Source organism: Homo sapiens, chromosome 1 (genome assembly GCF_000001405.40).
Source record: "Homo sapiens chromosome 1, GRCh38.p14 Primary Assembly".
In the NCBI taxonomy this organism is placed as follows: Eukaryota; Metazoa; Chordata; class Mammalia; order Primates; family Hominidae; genus Homo; species Homo sapiens.
The window spans coordinates 216379734-216398680 of NC_000001.11; the positions used below are offsets into that span (position 1 = coordinate 216379734).

Here is an 18947-nt window from a genome sequence, read left to right on the forward strand (position 1 = left end):
AAAGCTAGAAAGGTTCTATTTCTCTAAGGAAAAGAAAACAATTGAAAAGCTTGAGTATCCAATCAAACAAATTACATTTGCGACCCTCCCCAGAGGGCTACACCACTTAGGCCCTAAGCAGAGTTTAGTTGGAATATATATTTTAAAGGACAAGTTTATCAAAGAATACTACAAGGGAACAGAAAACAAAATAAATAAGACAAATGTAATTGAACCAAAGAGCCATGTATGTGTAAACTCCCAAACTTATTTGAAGTAACATTTAATATGAACTTGAATTCAAGCACTGTCATTTAAAACTGGATACTTATTGACTTAAGGAGAGAATTGATAAGGAATTTAGTTTTATTTCACCTTTTTATTAATGATCTACAAGTAGCAATCTTAATGAAAACAGTAGATGACAGTAAATTGATAGGTACCGCAAAAGACGTTAGAAACAACATAAAAGAAGATGCAAGAGGGTAGATATTGGGAAGGAACTAAGAATGAAATTCACTGTAGTTAAATGGGAAGGTCATTCAAAACACAGCTTCTAAAAAATATCTTTTTCCAAATAGCTTAAAATATTTATGAGTATTGCTATCACTACTGCCTATTTATTTGGAAGCAACACTGTTCCAGGCACCAGAATACAGAGCCAGAATCACAAAAAATTAAAGACATCAGAAATGCCAAATACAGAAAAAACAAAAAGTTCTAGGGAATGTGAAAGGAGGCCAGTGTTTGTGTGTTTTTCATTTAATATGATAAGTTAAGAAAATGTGTATTATTTTAAAGGAAATTCCAGTTATTTTCCAGGCTGTAATAGAGCTCAGGGAAGGCTAAGAGTGAATATATCTGTGAACAGAAAAAAATATCACTGACTTCAGTGTGAGACAAAATATGGGAGAAAAAACAGTACTGCTAGTTTAGTCACAGTTTTTCTAAAACTAATTAGAGTACTGAGCTTTATAACCTAGAAGAGACTGTAAAGTACTTACTAATCATGGAAAAGATAATTTTTTCAGGATAAAGAGATGATTTAATATATAATTTAGCAAAGTTGTAAATGTCCACCCATCATTTAGAAAATATATGTAGCTTTTCATTCTATCACATATCACTTTTTCTCAATATCATCTTTTACCAAACTCAATATTTCTATTTGTTTGTATATTTACTTATATTAAACATACATTATGTAAGAGATATTTTGCTCTTCTGAGCACATATGAATGAATAAAGTATCTGCCTTTCAGTACATTCAAAAATATACCTAATGCAAAACCTACTTAATATCTAATAAAATATGCCTATGTAATAAATGTCATACAGCCAATAAGAAAAAAAAGTGCTATAGGAGCAGAGAGGAGAAAAGGAGAGAAGAAATTAGTGTGTTTTACAGAGGAAGTTGTATTTGTGGTGGTCATTGAGATACGTACACAAAGAAATGGAGTTGAAGAGGGAGAGGGAAAAGTGTACAAGCTAGAAGCAACTGAATAAGGCAAACAGGAAGAGCTTGCATGAAAACCACAAAGTACATGATTTTGGGAGGCAAAAAAATATCATGGTTAAAACTCAAAGTACATAGAAGGACAATGAAGCTATAGAGGCACCATCTAACAAATTTTGAAGGATCTTGAACATGTTGCTAAGGGAAGGAAATTTCATTCTCTGGAGTGTGAGCAATCGTGAGCATAGTGTTTATTTAAGGAGAGGAAGGAGGTAATCACATTTACATTTTAGAAAGAAATTTTCACGATGAAGTTTTTTACAAAGACAAAGTAATCAACAATACTAGGGGGAAAAGTGGAAAGGGAACAATCAGAAATGTATTGCAATATACAAAGCAAAAGTAACCAACCCTCCTCTTTCTAGCTACCACTTGTAAGCCATGTTATAAAGAAGTTGGTTCAAAATTTTAAAGTCACCTTTATTGTTCCTCTAATCTCCAAAGTAGTAATGAAATGCAGCGGTCTCATTAATTTACTTCATAAATTTCTTTTCCTTTTTCAGTTTTCTCCTGCTACATATTCGATCAACTAATATCTCTCATCTGTACAGTCTTCAAGGGATTGGTTCCAGGATCCAGGCATAAATAACCAAAATCTAATCATACCCAAGTCTCGCAGTTAGCCTTGCGGAGCCCAGGGATACAAAAAGTCGGCCCTGTGCATAGTCGGATTTTACATCCTGCAAGTACTGTATTTTCAATCTGTGTTTAGCTCGAAAAAATTCACATAAAAGCAGACCTGGGCAATTCAATTCCTTGTAGTTCATGGGTCAACTGTATTCTTGCAAGAGCTTCTAAACAAACTGTCCTATCAACTTTGTTCTAATACTGGATGATGCCATCACTCATTCAATCAAACTTTGTTTATTGAGAATGGATCACATTCAAACATGATGCCGAGCCCTGAAGGGAACAACACTAAATAAGGTAAAATTCTTGATCTAAAAGTTCTGGAGTCTAGTGATGGACACAAATAAAGCACATTGAGTAAATTGCGATAATTTCATAGAAAGGATGAGTGCATGTCTACTCAGATTTTGAGATAAGAAAAGGCTTCCTGAAAATGTTGATGCCAAATGAGTGAAAGGAAAAAGTAGGATTAAGCGGAATAAATAGTAAGGGAGAGTATTCTTGGTAAAGAACATGTGCAGTTGTAGCAACATAAGAAAGATGGATACAATTAAAGACTAGACAGCTCAGTGTTACTAGAATGTGAGGTCCCAGAGGAGACCTTACAGAACATGAGGCTGAACAGTTGTCAGAGCTAAGTCATTAAGGGTCTCCATTCCAACTGAAGAAATCTTAAAACTAAGAAAAATCATACTTGAATTTGAATTTTGAAAGCTCACTGATAGCACTGTGGCAATATAAATTTAGAAATTACAGGTTTTATAACTATGCATATGAAAATAGTACTAGGAGTCATGGTTGTGAGTAAGAATTCCCAGGGAAAGTGTGTGCCGTGAAAAGTGCATAGTGTTAAGCAAGGAACCACGAAAAGACCCAAATAAAGAGTCTGAACGGAAGAAGAAAAGCCCTTGGAAATAGGGGTTTGGGGTAATTGGAATAAGTTGATGAACGAATGGACACTAGAGTACATACAACTTCTTATGTATCTTGGACATAAAAGGAATAAAACTATATTGGTCACTAAATTTCACAGGATGAAAGCCCGAAGAAAACAAATAATGAAAATATAAACTCAAAGACATGATAGAAACCAAAATTAAGGGATTAAAAATATGACCTGAATATTCAGCTAAGAAAAGCTTACCATATTCTCAAGAAAACAAAGATTAATTAACACCAAACTATAGGCTGGTAGTCCTGGGATTTTAAGGATAAAGAAAGAAACCTGTAAGAATCTCACTCAGGCACACAAAAACGGGTCACCCACAGTGAAAAATAATCCTTAAGCTTGTCTCAGATTTCTCTTCAGAAACACGATGCAATGTATTAAAAGCTCACAAACGAAAGGGTATAAGAAAAAAAAATCCATCATCATCCAGACATTGTTCATGGGTACAGGCATTAGAAAGACAGGCTCAACTACGCAAAGATTCAGAAGGTACATCACTGGCCATGTTCCTTTTCAGAATAGAAATACTCTCACCAAATAGAAAGCTCAATTCAAATTAAGAAATTAGAGATGTATGTTATGAAAGGATACTCAATGAGTATTGAATCCTTTTAACATCATATAAATTTTTAAATAAGTTATAAAGTGCTATTGTAATGCTTGAAATAAAAATATCATTTTACTATAATGATTTTGCTACAATAAGCTGGGATAAGAAGCTCTGCTTATTTCAACAAAACTGGAATGTGGGAAGAGAAAGAATTGTTAAAAGCAAAGGTGTGATAACTCCCTTAATTTTCTATGGGAGTTAACATAGGATTGTATGTCTGAAATTATTATCTTCACGTATAATTCTTTTCACATGTAATTTGTTTGTTTGTTTGTTTTGCGAGAGGATCTGGCTCTGTTGCCTAGGCTGGAGTGCAGTGGCACGACCATGGCTCACAGCCTTGACCTCCCAGGCTCAGAAGATCTTCCCATCTTAGCCTTCTGAGTAGCTGGGACTACAGGCATGCACCACCATGCCTGGCTAATTTTTTTTCTTTCTTTCTTTCTTTCTTTTTTTTTTTTTTTGTAGAGATGACGTCTTGCTATGTTGCCCAACCTGGCCTTGAAATCCTGGACTCAAGTGATCCTCCTGCGTAGGCCTCCCAAAGTGCTGGGACTATCGGCATGGGGCACCACACCCAGCCTACATATAAATTTTTAAACTGTCATTTTAAAATTTATTATTTTTACCTACAAATTTTATTCTTTAATATTTTAACCAATTATTTTTTTCTGTCCAGAGTGATTTTCCTTCTCTGCCTATGCTTTCTTTCTTTTTTTATAACTATGACATAAACCTGCAAGTTCTGCATGTGTACCCCAGAACTTAAAGTAGAATAAAAAAAATTTAAAATTATTTTTACATATAATTTCTAAATATATCAAGATTTCTTAGTCATTAATAAAAATGCAGACCCCTTTATTTAAAAAAATAAGAGAACAATACACAGCTATTACCCAGAAGCAAAAAATACATGTGGCTGGCTAATAAGCCTATGTAAGGTAAGATAAGTACGAGGTAGGGGAAGAAATGCTAAATGAAATAAGAATACACTCATACTATTTTGCCCATAAAATTAGAAAAAAATGAGAAAAGATAATTCCTTATATTAACAATAATTTGAGGAATAGGCACTCTGATTCTCTTTCGGTAGGAGTCTGCACTAGTCAAACATTTTCTGAAGACAGTAGGTCAATATACCCCTGAAATTGTGCACACCCTTTGAATCAGCTGCACCTCTGAAATTTACCCTAAGGCTGCACTAAGGGTCCATCTCTAGTTGGAAATCATTAATTTTTAGTGGCCTCAATCCACACACCTGTTTTTTTTCAGTAATATTCTGCAATCTATACACAGGAATTAAGAAGGCAGTCAGGTGAATGATTTGAGAATAGGTGTCTGGTGGCAACAGAATGAAAAAAAATGAAATAAAAGAAAATGGTTAAAAGACTACTAAAGATATTTTCCTTGTGGGCTAGGCTAGAAGTGAAGAAACTGAACCTAGAAGGAACCCAACAGACTCAAAGACAATATAAGCACCTAGGCGCTTAACTTCATTCTGTAGCCAAAAGTTTTCAAGAGGTGAAAAAGTGAAGCTTCATGGTCATTAACCAAAAGCTGATAATGATGCAGAGAAACACTGTGAGTCAGAGGTGAAATTTTTCATTGTATCTGGCAGGCAGGTGGCTGGGGTATCCAAGGTGTCAGCAGCTGCAAAAATTGATGCAAGGTTTGCAAAAATTGATGCAAAAATTGAAGAAAGGTACACAACAACTTAACATGAGCTTTAAAGGAAACATCTCTTTCCAATATGAGGTAAAAGAAAAAGAAGAAAGCAATCCCTACATCTCTACTTGCTCCCAGCAATGAGGTGCATGAGGAGTGGATGAATGAGCACCCTTTGCTTGGAAGGGCCAGGAAAGGGGTCCCTAAAGGGAAAGAATTAGTGTTTATGTAAGGCAAGGACTTTGAAAAACTGTTGACAAAGAGCTTGAAAGTCTAAAGAATGTGACATGTTTACAAACTACTATAGAATAAAAACATTGTCCTGATGTGGATGATGAAAGTAAAGAAATGAAAGACAGAGAAATAATGGTATGAGAATATGGGAGAAGACACATAACTGAAGGGACACAGATATAGAATGACAACAAAGGGTGACAGAATTATTAGAGCCTGTAAGATTAACTGCTCCATAATCCAACTAGAATTTTGGGGTGAAGGTCACTCTGAGCTGGCACAGATAATGCCAAGCTACCTCTAGCTTAAAAGAAATAATAAAAGGCTGTTTTAATAAGATCCCTTCTTTGCTCAAAACTTTCATTTGGTTCCCTTTGATTATTGAACTGTATCCTCAGCTTTATTCCGGTTTCTATCATCTGACAGTAAAATTCCTTCAGGGTTTCATCTTACTACGCTCTTGCATAAAACCTACTCTTGGCAAACTTGACCAGTCACTGTTTGCCATCATCACAAGAATATTTTCACCTTTCTGCCTTTCTACATCCTAGTCCCAAACCTGGAATTCTTCTCTCCCCATCTCTGCCTCTTGAAACCTCATGTTCTAGGTTAAATTTTTTATAATCCAAGAAGCACTATCATAATGAGAAGAAATCACAACTTTCAGCAGCTCCTATTTATTATTCCATAAATGTTACAGTCATTAGTGTTTATGTCTTATCTCTTTCACTAAATTCCTTTGGACCAAGAGCCTAGTTAACTGGTTTTGTCACTTCTAAAACCTCCACACAGTACAGTCCTGTACATAGTGTTCTACTAGTGAAATAAATTAAATTGCACAACAATTATGAATAACACAAAACAATAAATAGAAGTTATTAAAAAGAATAGTCATTTCAGGCCGGGTGCAGTGGCTCATGCCTGTAATCCCAGCACTTTGGGAGGCTAAGGCAGGCGGATCACAAGGTCAGGAGATTGAGACCATCCTGGCTAACACGGTGAAACCCCATCTCTACTAAAAATACAAAAAATTTGCTGGTCGTGGTGGCGGGCGCCTGTAGTCCAAGCTACTCGGGAGGCTGAGGCATGAACCCGGGAGGCAGAGCTTGCAGTGAGCCGAGATCCTGCCACTGCACTCCAGCCTGGGCGACAGAGCGAGACTCGTCTCAAAAAAACAAACAAACAAACAAACAAACAAACAAACAAAAAACAAAAACCAAAAAACTATATATATATATATATATATATATGCTGGGTGTGGTGTCTCATGCCTGTAATCTCAGCACTTTGGGACTTTGGGAGGCTGAGGTAGGCAGATCACAAGGTCAGGAGATCGAGACCATCCTGGCTAACACAGTGAAACCCCGTCTCTACTAAAAATACAAAAAATTAGCCTGGCGTGGTGACGGGCACCTGTAGTCCCAGCCACTCGGGAGGCTGAGGCAGGATAATGGAGCGAACCCGGGAGGCGGAGCTTGCCGTGAGCTGAGATCACGCCACTGCAATCCAGCCTGGGCGACAGAGTGAGACTCCGTCTCAATGAGAAAAAAATAATAATAATAGTAATTTCTGACTTCGTTTATACTCTTGCAGCTTTCAGTGAAGAGCTTAAGCACCAACTCCACCATTTAGCTTCTCAAACTCTAAGAACTTTATCACAGAACAACTTGAAAACTCTTGACAGATCATGAAGGTGATTTTAAGTAAGATAGGAGGAATTACTTCAAGAACATAATTTAATTACTTTGTATGAAGCAGAAAACAATAAAAGAGATAAAGAATCCAGAATGTGTGAACTTTATACATCTTTGAAGTAATAGGATATAATTTGGAAAATAGAAAAGTGAAGAAATAGGCTGAACACTGGAAATACTTCTGAAACTTACCAACTTGATAAATAAATTGGTTACAAGGAAAACAGTCAATGACTTCTCACTTGCAATGCCTAAATCTGTTTTTACTAAGCTACAAAGTGATGGACCTCAAGGACAATGACATTTTGGCAATAAAAACAAACTATCAGATGCATTTTCAACAATTTAGTTTCCATTTTCTATTTCCACAATTTACTGTGATATAGCTGATCTGATGAAAAAAGAAACAACTCTTCAATATAGATCAAATGTTTCTGTGTGAAATATTTCACGCAAGTTAAACTATCCAAGACCAATATTGTCACATTTAGATAATTTTCTTCAGATGCTGAACGTTTTGTAATTATTAGCCATGAAAATTTGGGATATAGACTTTGCTTTAATACAGTACATTGTCTCAAGTTGGGCCAAACTGCTTTACAAATTAATGAGGTATATATCGGCGGTGTAGTGATTTCAGTAGGCAAACACAGAATCTATTAAGTACTCAATAATACCCTTTATAGATCCTCAAACGTTAAAATCTATTTTATAGCAACACTTCCAAAATGTGTCACAGGGTTTTTAATGCTCTGTGCCACCAGAGACAGAAATGAAGACCCTTATTTTAACATTTAACCTGAAAGGACACCTCCATCTGCCCTCCCTCTCTCTGCCCTTCCCCCATTATTACACTGTCTGAATTAGGTATGAGGCAAAATTCTGGTGTGGGAATTCTACTCAAATATCTAGTTGAATAGCGTCAGGCTCTCCTGACCTTCTAACCCTCTCTTTTGTCCAAACCTCCTGAGAATCAAGCATGTGTCACACAATAACTAGCTTCCCCTTGAATAGCATTATTGGAGAAGAGAAAAAAAGTCCTTGCCCAGGACTTGACTATATTCTGCCATGAACAAGTTACATGGCTATTTAAAGTTATAAAGCAACAGACTTCCATACATTTCACTTCACGAGTTTAAGTATAACCATTATTTTCTCAAATGAATTGAATGTTCATGTAAGACAAGAGCATCTGTCCAAAATGTGTCTTCAGATTGAGAAGGGAATAAAACAAGTAAATGTCAGGGAATAATACCTTTTCTAAAAATTGGGATTGTTTTAACGGCTGTCCTTCAGTGCTCACTTTAAAGCAATACTTAAGGATCTTCTCTTTCCAGATTTCCTCTTTTGCTGGAAACCCATGAATTGCATATGTTTTGGTGATGCTGCTTTTCAGTTGTTGCTGCTAGTAACCAACTAACTTTACTGTTTTTGTTGTTTGGTAGGTTTTTTTAAAGAAAAATTTCCACTCTTTGTATATGAATATTATGACTTGGAAGGAAAATTACAAATACATAAGGGAATTCCAAGACTCGGAAGATGAATTTTTGTTGTGAACACAGTGAACAAGAAAACATATCACTTTTAACATAAAAGCAGCTTTCTACACATGCCATAAGGCATTTGCACTGGTCCTTGTTCTCAGTGAGACCCAAATGCAAATGCAGTGTTAACAGAGAAAAATCAAAGAATGACATCGGAGGACAAGCTAGAGCCACAATTTATCTGCATAACACTCAGCAGTCCAATAGCAACTTCTAAGCTGCTGACACTACTTGCTGAAGCTCTTGACAAGGAAGCTCCTGCTGCTTTTTCTGTGAGGAATTCTTGCCTTTTGTAACTTATCCCGCAGGTCTTTCCTTGCCTCTCAATAGGTGTTCTTCAAACAGTTAACAGAAAATGGAAACTACTGTATTTAAAGGCAAATCAATTTTAACCTTATATGACAAATTTTCACAAAGTTATATATGATGGCAGTATAAGAATAAGAATATTAAAAATAGTGACAGAAGGAGAATAAAACCATTAAAGGCACTAAAGGGGCCATTTCTGGAAGAGCTAGTGTAAGTGAAAAGAGGAAAAGGTTCTTGGATGAAAGTGACTACTTTATCATCGCATGCTTCAGTATAAAAATCTATAAATGCTAAGTTTTCCCACTTTACCAATTCCCATATGTGTAACAATAATGTGGGAGCAAAACAAAAAAAGAGTCTTAAGGATGAAATAAAATACTGTGAATACTGTCTAAGCAGTAAATAAATAAATGCTGCCACTTTTTAAAAATCTCCTTGTGTTTTAAAACTCAGCTGTTATTTATAATGTAGACAAATGACAGATCACTTTTTAAAGGAAGTAAGGAATCAGTCCTTCTATGATGTTGTTGGTTCAGTCTGGCCCAACATACTTTTATCAATAGAATATAATTCTCCACATTTAACTGCTTATATAGCATTTCTTCCAGAGAAATTAACTAAGCAAGATTTTTCTAATTAAAATAAAACAATTTTTAATTTTTAATCTTGAACTTTATATTTAAGTAGAAACTAATTTTTAACATGGTATTTATTAACTTCATAACCTGCTTTCTTTCCCTCACTTATATACTTCCCATTAATTTCTAAAGGAGATTTATATGCTATAAAGATTTACAGCTAATGAAACAGAAAGTAAATATACATCTTACTTAAATAATTAGCCCATTTTCTTCAGTACAAATACCAATCACATCCTAATGAGGAAAGTATGCTATTTCTAAATGTAATGCAATCTTGCCTCAAACACATTTTTATTTACAGAGGACAGTTTTTCTATACATCTTCCCTTCAGAACCATTGGAAATAATCTAGTTTTTATTTTAAAATATAGCCATGCATTTCTACTAATGCTCAGGTATCAGGTGAACAAAATAATAGTGACTTACATTTACATCTTGCTTCTGAACTGTCAGTACATTTACTAGCTGTCAGTAAAAGAGAAAAATAAAAAAAACTGACTGTCAGTTTTAAAAGACAGTAAGAAAGAGAAAGTATGCCAGTAAATGTAGAGAAAATAATTTTGAAAAATATTTTACCTACTTCAGCATGAGTTTTTGTCCTGTGTGAAATGTATAACTACATAATTTGAATTGTTTGATATCTTAAAACCATAGATTCTAGGAAATATGGAAATGTGTGAGGAAAACGTGTTTGCTTTAAAATCATGATTTCCAAGCTAGGTTTAGGCTGATGCAAACAAAACTGCCATTCACCTAGTCAAATAAAGGGATTCCAAAGCTTTGCAGAGTTATTTGTATAGAGCAGGAGATTTAGGCTCAGATTATTAGATCTATATGTCCCTTAAATTTCCCACCCAGCATCTTAAAAATTGAACATAACTGAAAAGTTGACAATACAATACCATAATGATGAATGAATCCATACCATAATTGCACCTCTTCTTGAACATAAAACCACATCTTAAGTGTTTTCCCAATCTAAATATTCAAAAATGGCCGTGACTTTTTAAATTTTATAATGTTTTGGGTTACATGCATTCTACTGTTCAATTAAAACATTTTAGAATATGTTATTTAAATTATAATCATCTTAAAAGGCTAATATTCTTGAAATGGATAGTTTCAAACCTAAACTTTGAAGATAACTGATGGACCTAAATAACTTAAAAAAGATACAGGAATAATAATTTGGTAAATAAATGTGGATATATTTCCTCGGTGTTCATAATCACACACCAAATTTTGAAGGTTTTAAGTTTACTATAGATGTAAGCATGCTCCCACCACTTGGGCATTTTCCTGCATTATAGTGTTGCAATTGCTCATCAATAAGACTCCTTAAAATTAATCATTACTCGTCAGATTTATTGAAATTAAAACTGGAGGGGTGCAAGTTATTTTTATTAAAATAATTAAATTGAATCATTACAGCATTCTGTCCAGAGATAACAAGTGGACCGACAAGAACATCAGCTGTGAATATATTTAAATATAGATTTACACATGCAATATTAGGGAAGGTAAAAACAGGATATGAAATAAACATTAGACATCAACTCTAAGCTCACTGTCAAGAATACGCCCAAGCCTCTAACCACAGAGTTCAGCTGAAGGTAACTATCTGTCAAATGTAATCTGTGCAAGTGAATATGCTTAAGCTGGTGCTATGAATCAACCAAAATTGCTTTGGTCTTATTGACATTCAATTGCGAGAAGTTGCAGCTCATCCAGTCCAATAGACAGTCTGACAACACCAAGAGTGCTTCCAGTGACAGAAGGCTTTAAATATAGATGCAACTATCATCAAAATCCACATGGAACTAAACTTTATGATCCTTCATAGCATCTTTTGAAATTGGTCAGTCAGTCATCAACTGGTCATAGATGCCCCAAGATCTCATCACATTACTTTACCATCTGCCAGCTTACTCAGTTAACAAACCATTATTAATCTTTAAAAAAAATGAATATAGATTTGATTGACAGGTAAAGTCCTCCTGGATTAGTATAAGAGTTTCTGTTGCATTGCGCTTAACCCCACTTCTTCACTTTGCAGATGTGCCTTTTATTTTTTCTTCCATTTGAGACTTGCCCCTAGTACATCTTAATAAATAATAACCAGGCATGCATGAAAAAAATCCAGAGGGTCAATTTTAAACAATGCCTTGCAGATATTTCTTGACATGTATTGAGTTTGCATAAACTCTGCATTTTACCAACAAGAGAACTAAGGTGAGTGAGGTTAAGTGACTTGCCTAGGGTTGTTTCCCCTTGGGCGCTGTGACCTCTCAAGTAGATTCTGCTGGTGCCCATGTGCTTTTGTTCCAGGTCTTAATCCTATATTGAACCAACTTTCTATCCATCCCTCTTTTGTCTGTGCATATTTTCAAACAAGAAACATGTGTTGAGTTCCAAACTGCTTGTGATGCTCTGCTTGCCTCTGTTAAATCTCTCTATGCCTCAGTAGTCTCATCTGTACCTTCTTAAGGCCATTCATTCAGTGATACATGTAAATAAAACCCTGGACTCAGTAAAGAGCCAATAGACCTAAATGGGTAGATTGATACTTGAATTTTTAACATGCTATGTAAGTACTGTCCTGTCCCTCGCAGAGTTTATAGTCCAAAGACAAATTGCACTTTTAAGGATAAATCTTTACATGATGCAAGGACAAATACAAAACATTCTACATTATTTTAAAAAACCAATCCTGGCCAGGTGTGGTGGCTCACACCTGTAATCCCAGCACTTTGGGAAGCTGAGGCAGGTGGATCACAAGGTCAGGAAATCCCGACCATCCTGACTAACACGGTGAAACCCTGTCTCTACTAAAAATACAAAACAAATTAGCCGGGCATGGTGGCAGGCGCCTGTAGTCCCGGGAGGCTGAGGCAGGAGAATGGCATGACCCCAAGAGGCAGAGCTTGCAGTGAGCTGAGATCGTGCCACTGCACTCCAGCCTGGATGACAGAGCAAGACTCCGTCTCAAAAAAAAAAAAAAAAAAAAAAAAAATCCAAAGTGTAGCAGTTCCCTGAACTCTCACACTAGGTCTTTCTTAGGAACATCCATTGTCTTCTCTCAGGGAATCTCTGTTACTTCCCTTGTACCTTGAACTATGAAGGTACATGAAAATAAACTGTGATACAATGCTGTTTTTTTAAAAAAAAGTGAGCAGACAAAATTATATATGTTTTAAAGATGTACTATGGTTAATAACATATATAATATGCACATAAAAGCTGAAGGGAATTACATTAATATCAGAGCAAAATTACTGGAAGGAATTGGTTGGGTCTGTCTTTTTTCTCATTTATTTTCTAAATATTTGAAAATGTTGATTCAAAACCTTTTACGATTTTTTAAAACATCTGATTTTATTCAAAAATTACTTTCCAAAAATGTATACTCAATATCACAGTGAGATTTCTTTCTTTCTTATTATGTATAGCTTCTTAAGGATAGACACCATGGCTTTACTATCTTCTGTAACCTCAAGATCTCTTAAAAAGTGTTGTATACATAGTAGATATCTATTGTCTTTTACATTAATGAAGTTAAAATGCTTTAAGCAAAAGGAATTGACTTGCTTACTAGGAAAATGACCATAAAGGTTCTTTTCAACTTTTCACATGTATTATCAGAAGAAACATTGACTAAGCCTGGCTTTTACACATGATCTTCCATGAAGCATACTATGCACTTATTCGAGTGTGCTACTATTGTGTCAGTAAAGAATCTGGAACAAAAACAATTCTCCTCCAGATGGAAAAAAGTTACTTAATAACCTTACTTAGTTTTAAAATTAGTTATTTTTCAGCAAATGTATGAATTGAAATTTAATCAAGGAAGTTCCTAAAGTACTAAAATTACGTAAAGCAAACATAATTAAATAAGGTACATAAGTAATTTGCATTCTAGGGGCTTGTGGTCGGAACACACAAACTAGGATATAATACCTTAAGGTTTTAGTTGTTCCAGGTGATTTAGATCACTGGTTATTTCCATGTGGCTTTTTATTATTTATGAACTTAAACTCTTATGACTCTTGATTTTTTTATTTTCTCGTATATAAAATGGCAATCATTAACATTATTAATGGATCAAAAATAATGTTTGCAAAACACTGAAAATTAAAAAAAATATTATGCAAGTCTTCTCATGCTATACTCCACTCAGTCACGTTCAGCCTATCTCTCCCTGCCAATCACAAGTAAAATCTCAGACCAAACACAAAAAGCAACTACATGAGGATGCTGAAAAGTGAATCAAAGCAAACAGATTATGGAGGGGAGCCAGACCTGAAGAATTGGAAACTTCTGATCTATAAATGACACTGTTAAAATATTGAGAAGACAAGCTACAAATCAGGAAAATATTTGCAAAACAGACATCTGTTTGACAGAGGACTTCTATGCACAAGACATAAAGAGCCATAGAAATTTCATAATAAGAAAAGGGCCAACATTTTTTGAAATGGGAAGATTTGAACAAACATTTCACTAAAGAGGATACACACATGGGAGGCAAATAAGCACCTGAAAAGATCCTCAATCATCATCAGTCACCGGGGAAAATCATCAATCATTAGAGAAGTGTAAATTAAAACCATAATGAGATACCACTAAACACCTATCAGAAGAAGAGCTAAATAAATAAATGAAGTGGCCATACCAAGTGCTGGCCAGGATGCAAAACAACTGTAATCTGACATTTTGCTGGTGAGAAGGCAAAATGGTACAGCCACCGTGGAAAAAGTCTGTCAACTTCTGAGAAACTTTAAACATACACCTACCATGTGGCACAGCAATCCTTTTCCCAGATATTTATTCAGAAAACAGTTTACGGGTCAATAGAGGGTGGGGATGGGAAGATGGGAATGACTATAAAAGAGTAGCACAAAGGAATATTCTGAAGTTATAGAACTCTTCTGTGTATTGGTTGGATGGTGGTTATGCAACAGTATACATCCACAAAAACCAATAGAATTGTGCACAAAAAGGTACATTTTGCTTTATATAAGTCATTTTTAATGTATATGTATTTGAAAGACAAAAAGCATTATACAATATGTGATTATGATTTTATTTGCCCTTTCAAAATCATCACAGGAATGAATAATAAACAGACGTTTCATAGAAATGTCCCCACAATGTCTCTAAATTGTCAATTTGTCATATAGTTTACATCAACTTAAGGCCTAATAACTGGTCCAGTCTTTTTTTTTTTTTTTTGAGACAGAGTCTCGCTCTGTCGCCCAGGCTGGAGTGCAGTGGCGCGATCTCCGCTCACTGCAAGCTCCGCCTCCCGGGTTCACGCCATTCTCCTGCCTCAGCCTCCCAAGTAGCTGGGACTACAGGCGCCCGCCACCACGCCCGGCTAATTTTTTGTATTTTTAGTAGAGACGGGTTTTCACCGTGTTAGCCAGGATGGTCTCGCTCTCCTGACCTTGTGATCCAGCCGCCTCGGCCTCCCAAAGTGCTGGGATTACAGGCGTGAGCCACCGCGCCCAGCCGGTCCAGTCGTTTTTAACTCTAATCATCTGATGTCACCCCCCAATCACTATGCCACTCCAAAACACTGTTGAGACTTCTGTCAAATAGTTCCCCTTTTCAAGTCAACAATTTACTAAAATCTTTTTCTTTTCATGCAACCAAAATTATTTTTCTATCTTAAGCATATTTTTTGAGGCTGACAATTCTATGTTCTTTCTTTGAATCAAAATATTTAACAATCAACCGAATGTTAATTTCTCCAACTTGTATCCTACTTTAAGTAAAAATACATCCTTTAAGTAACTTAACATTATTGGGTCTCCTTAATTACAGTGTTCACACTCCAAAAAATATATTTTATCTTTGAAATTCTTTTAATGCTTTACTTTTTTTAAAAACAATGTCACCAATTCAGAATTCTTATTAGCTACCCTTAGAAATTGCATAAGCCATTTTAGAATTTCATTTTTTGCCCCTATTTTTCTTATTTCATGCTTTGATAAAATTCTCTCAGTTAAATGTGGTTAACCTTAAATCCAAGCCTCTTCTGTACAGGTATGGTATCACAACTTATGCTCCTCAAAACAAAAATGTTTAACTACGCAAATTATAAGGAAATGACATCGCCAAGGATGAGACTGTAAAGAAGTTTCTCTCCACCAAGGCTCATGCCCCTTAGGGGACACTTGGCAATGTCTGCAGACATTTTTGACTATTGCAAGACAGGACGGAAGTAGGCAGAGAGGTGGCAGGTTTGCTACTGGCATCTAGTGGGTAGAGACCAGAGATTCTTCTGAACATCCTACAATGCACAGGAAAGCCAGGCACAACCAATAATTATCCAGTCCAAAATGTCAGTAGTGCCAAGATTGAGAAATATTGCCCCAAATCAATTATCTATTCAAGAAAGTACATATACTAATAAAAATGTAAGCACAAACAAAATCAAAACTCAGGACAATTTCTAGGCATTTCACTTACACTGTTTCAACTCCTCCACAGCTACATACACATACACTAGTAGAGATGTCCCCTTTTCATTGTCAAGGGGCAGTGACAGTACATTCCTTATCACCTGTTATATAATGGCATAACATAGAACCAGTTTAAGAAATATGTAAAAAATCTGTAATCGCAGTAAATACAATATGACTTAAACAGAAAGATATACAAAAATGAGTCTGAGTACAAAAAAAAATCTTGAATCAAATGCTTACTCATTGCAAATGGACACAATTCTGATATTCAATGTTTGAAGCTTGGCTCAATAACCAAACCTAATACATTTCTGTTTATACTAAATTTAGAATTCATCAAGAATTTTCTGATTCTGCTTGAAATTATCTAAACTGTGTACTTAGAAATATATATTTTCCATGGGCGCTTCCACTGTAGCCGTGAGTCACCTAGAGTTTATGCTCAGTTACACTAGTGTTAATGATTTAGGACAGTATATCTAATAGGTTGCGACAAAAATTAACAACAGCCCATAATTAAAGATGTTAATTAGGATAAGCTTACACTAATTAATAGAAGAATTTATCCTTGGTATTTATTTTAACCATGATCAAGCATTACTTATTATTTTAATCATTACACGAACCAGTTACATGTGTTACAAATGAATATCAAACTACATACACAAGAATTTCCAGTCATAAGATCTGCAAAGAATTATGGCAATGACTTTTGCATTATGACTCCACATTCCTCAATTCACACAAAAAAAATCAGATACAAACTATGGTGATGGTCATTGTAACATGAAAAAAAGACAAGTCTTGAATATCCACAAGCAGCTTTTCAACATCTAAAGTTGCCTCAAAAAGACATATCTGCCAAAATTCGTTGAAACTATGTAAAAAAAGTACAAATTGTATTATCTCCGCCAGCTCCATCCAATGTTTAATATAAAGCACTAGCAATTTCTCTTCCCCCTGAAGTATTTGTGGTTAGGCAAATTAGCTGAAATGTTGACACACTAATGCCAAGTGAAATGCTTTCCTTGTATCAAATCTATATTCCTGATTGAGAATTAATCTTCCACTTGCACACCTGAGAAGAATGGCTCTCCACCAGGAGTGGTAGTTGCAATAATCACAGGCAATAAAGTATGTACCTTGTTAGTCTATCTAGTTATTTTATTCATATCCAGTGTGATATTTAGTAGAGGAACAATTTCAAACTGCCTTTTAATTTCAATTGTAACAAAATATTTGCTGAAAAGTGTTAAGGGAATCTGCAAATGCTCGTGTATAGGTTTCTTATAGGCACTTTACAACTTGCCAATACACTTGACCACTGCTGCAATTTATGCTACATTTTTAAATTGTGAATAGGCCATGTGATGGTTAATATTAATTTGACTGGATTGAGGGATACCTAGATGGCTGGTAAAGCACTGTTTCTTGATGTATCTATTGCGGTGTTTCCAGAGGAGATTGACATATAAGCCAGTGGACTGAGAGAAAGACCTACCCTCAATGTAGGTGGGTACCATCCAATCAGCTGCAGGTGTGTCTACAGTAAAGCAGACAGAAGAAGGGGGATATTCAGCTTGCAGGCTTTTCTTGCTTTGTGAGCTGCCTCTCTCTTTCTCTTCCAGTGCAGAATGCCCTTTCTTCCTCCTGCCTTTAGACATCAGACTCTAGGTTCTTTAGCCTTTGGACCCTGAAACTTGCAGCAGTGGTCTCTGGGGGATCTGGGGGTTCTCAGGCTTTCAGCCTTAGACTATGGGATGCACTGTCAGCTTCCCTGGTTTTGAAGCTTTGGGACTTGGACTGAGACATAGTATCACCTTCCTTGGGAGACATACTAGTGGCTTCTATCATTCTATAGCTTGCTGACAGCCTGTCGTGGGACATTGCCTTTATAATGATGTGAGCAAATTCTCCCTAATACATTCCTTTTCATACACACACAGACATGCACCTCCTATTGGTTCTTTTCTTCTGGAGAACCCTGACTAATACAGACCATGTCTAGCTTGATCTGAATAGACTTCGCAATATTTGACAAGCATATCTTCTCTCTCTTTTCACCATGTCAGTTCACTTTACAAAGAGTTTTCCTTACCTCCCACAATTTTAGCCAATATACTTTAAATACAATAAGGAGCTTACAGCCAACAGCTATTTTAAAATGGTAGACAAAGTCCTTTTTATAACACTACATGACTTCTGATCCTGACAGAGATGGAGCAGCCTTATTCCTCCCAGTTCTCTTTCTATAATTAAAAAGCCCTGAACATAACAAAACAAATAAGTGTAAGATGACTTTGCGAAGTAGGTAGAAGAAAAAAAATTAGGAATCTGAGGACTTGAGGAACAACATGGCAAATTCCCTAGTTTTCGTTGTTGTTTTAATATCCAGAAACATCTAACGTAGAACCACCAACAGGCACAGACAAAATAAGCTCCAAGGAAAGGCTTATTTTCCTAGACAGAAGATCAGGAAAATGTTGGCCTACAAGAGAAAACCTTTTTAGCAAAAAGTACCTGTCATACTTTAGCCAAACTCCAATGGAAAAACCAAACACACACACACAAGCACACCCATACACACACACACACTCTCTCCCCACACACACTCACACACATTCATAGTTCCAGCAGCCGAGCTCATCAGGGAGCTAATCTTTCACCCCACCCTCTCACCCAACAGAAGTAAGCAGTAGTTTTTGA

The 18947-nt window shown here is 35.8% G+C and overlaps 1 protein-coding gene across 2 annotated transcripts in view, besides 1 other annotated feature; it reads right to left on the bottom strand.

The window, feature by feature from the left end:
- Window positions 1-18947, bottom strand: part of USH2A (usherin) — an 800558-nt gene that overhangs the window by 756843 nt on the left and 24768 nt on the right. The window lies entirely within an intron of this gene.
- Window positions 13411-13512: a silencer, noted in NCBI's record as "fragment chr1:216566486-216566587 (GRCh37/hg19 assembly coordinates)". NCBI's record gives its function as "represses an EF-1alpha promoter that drives an FKBP-Casp9 reporter gene in an ReSE screen in phorbol 12-myristate 13-acetate-treated (for megakaryocytic differentiation) K562 erythroleukemia cells {active_cell/tissue: K562(+PMA)}" and the evidence as "EXISTENCE:reporter gene assay evidence [ECO:0000049][PMID:32094911]".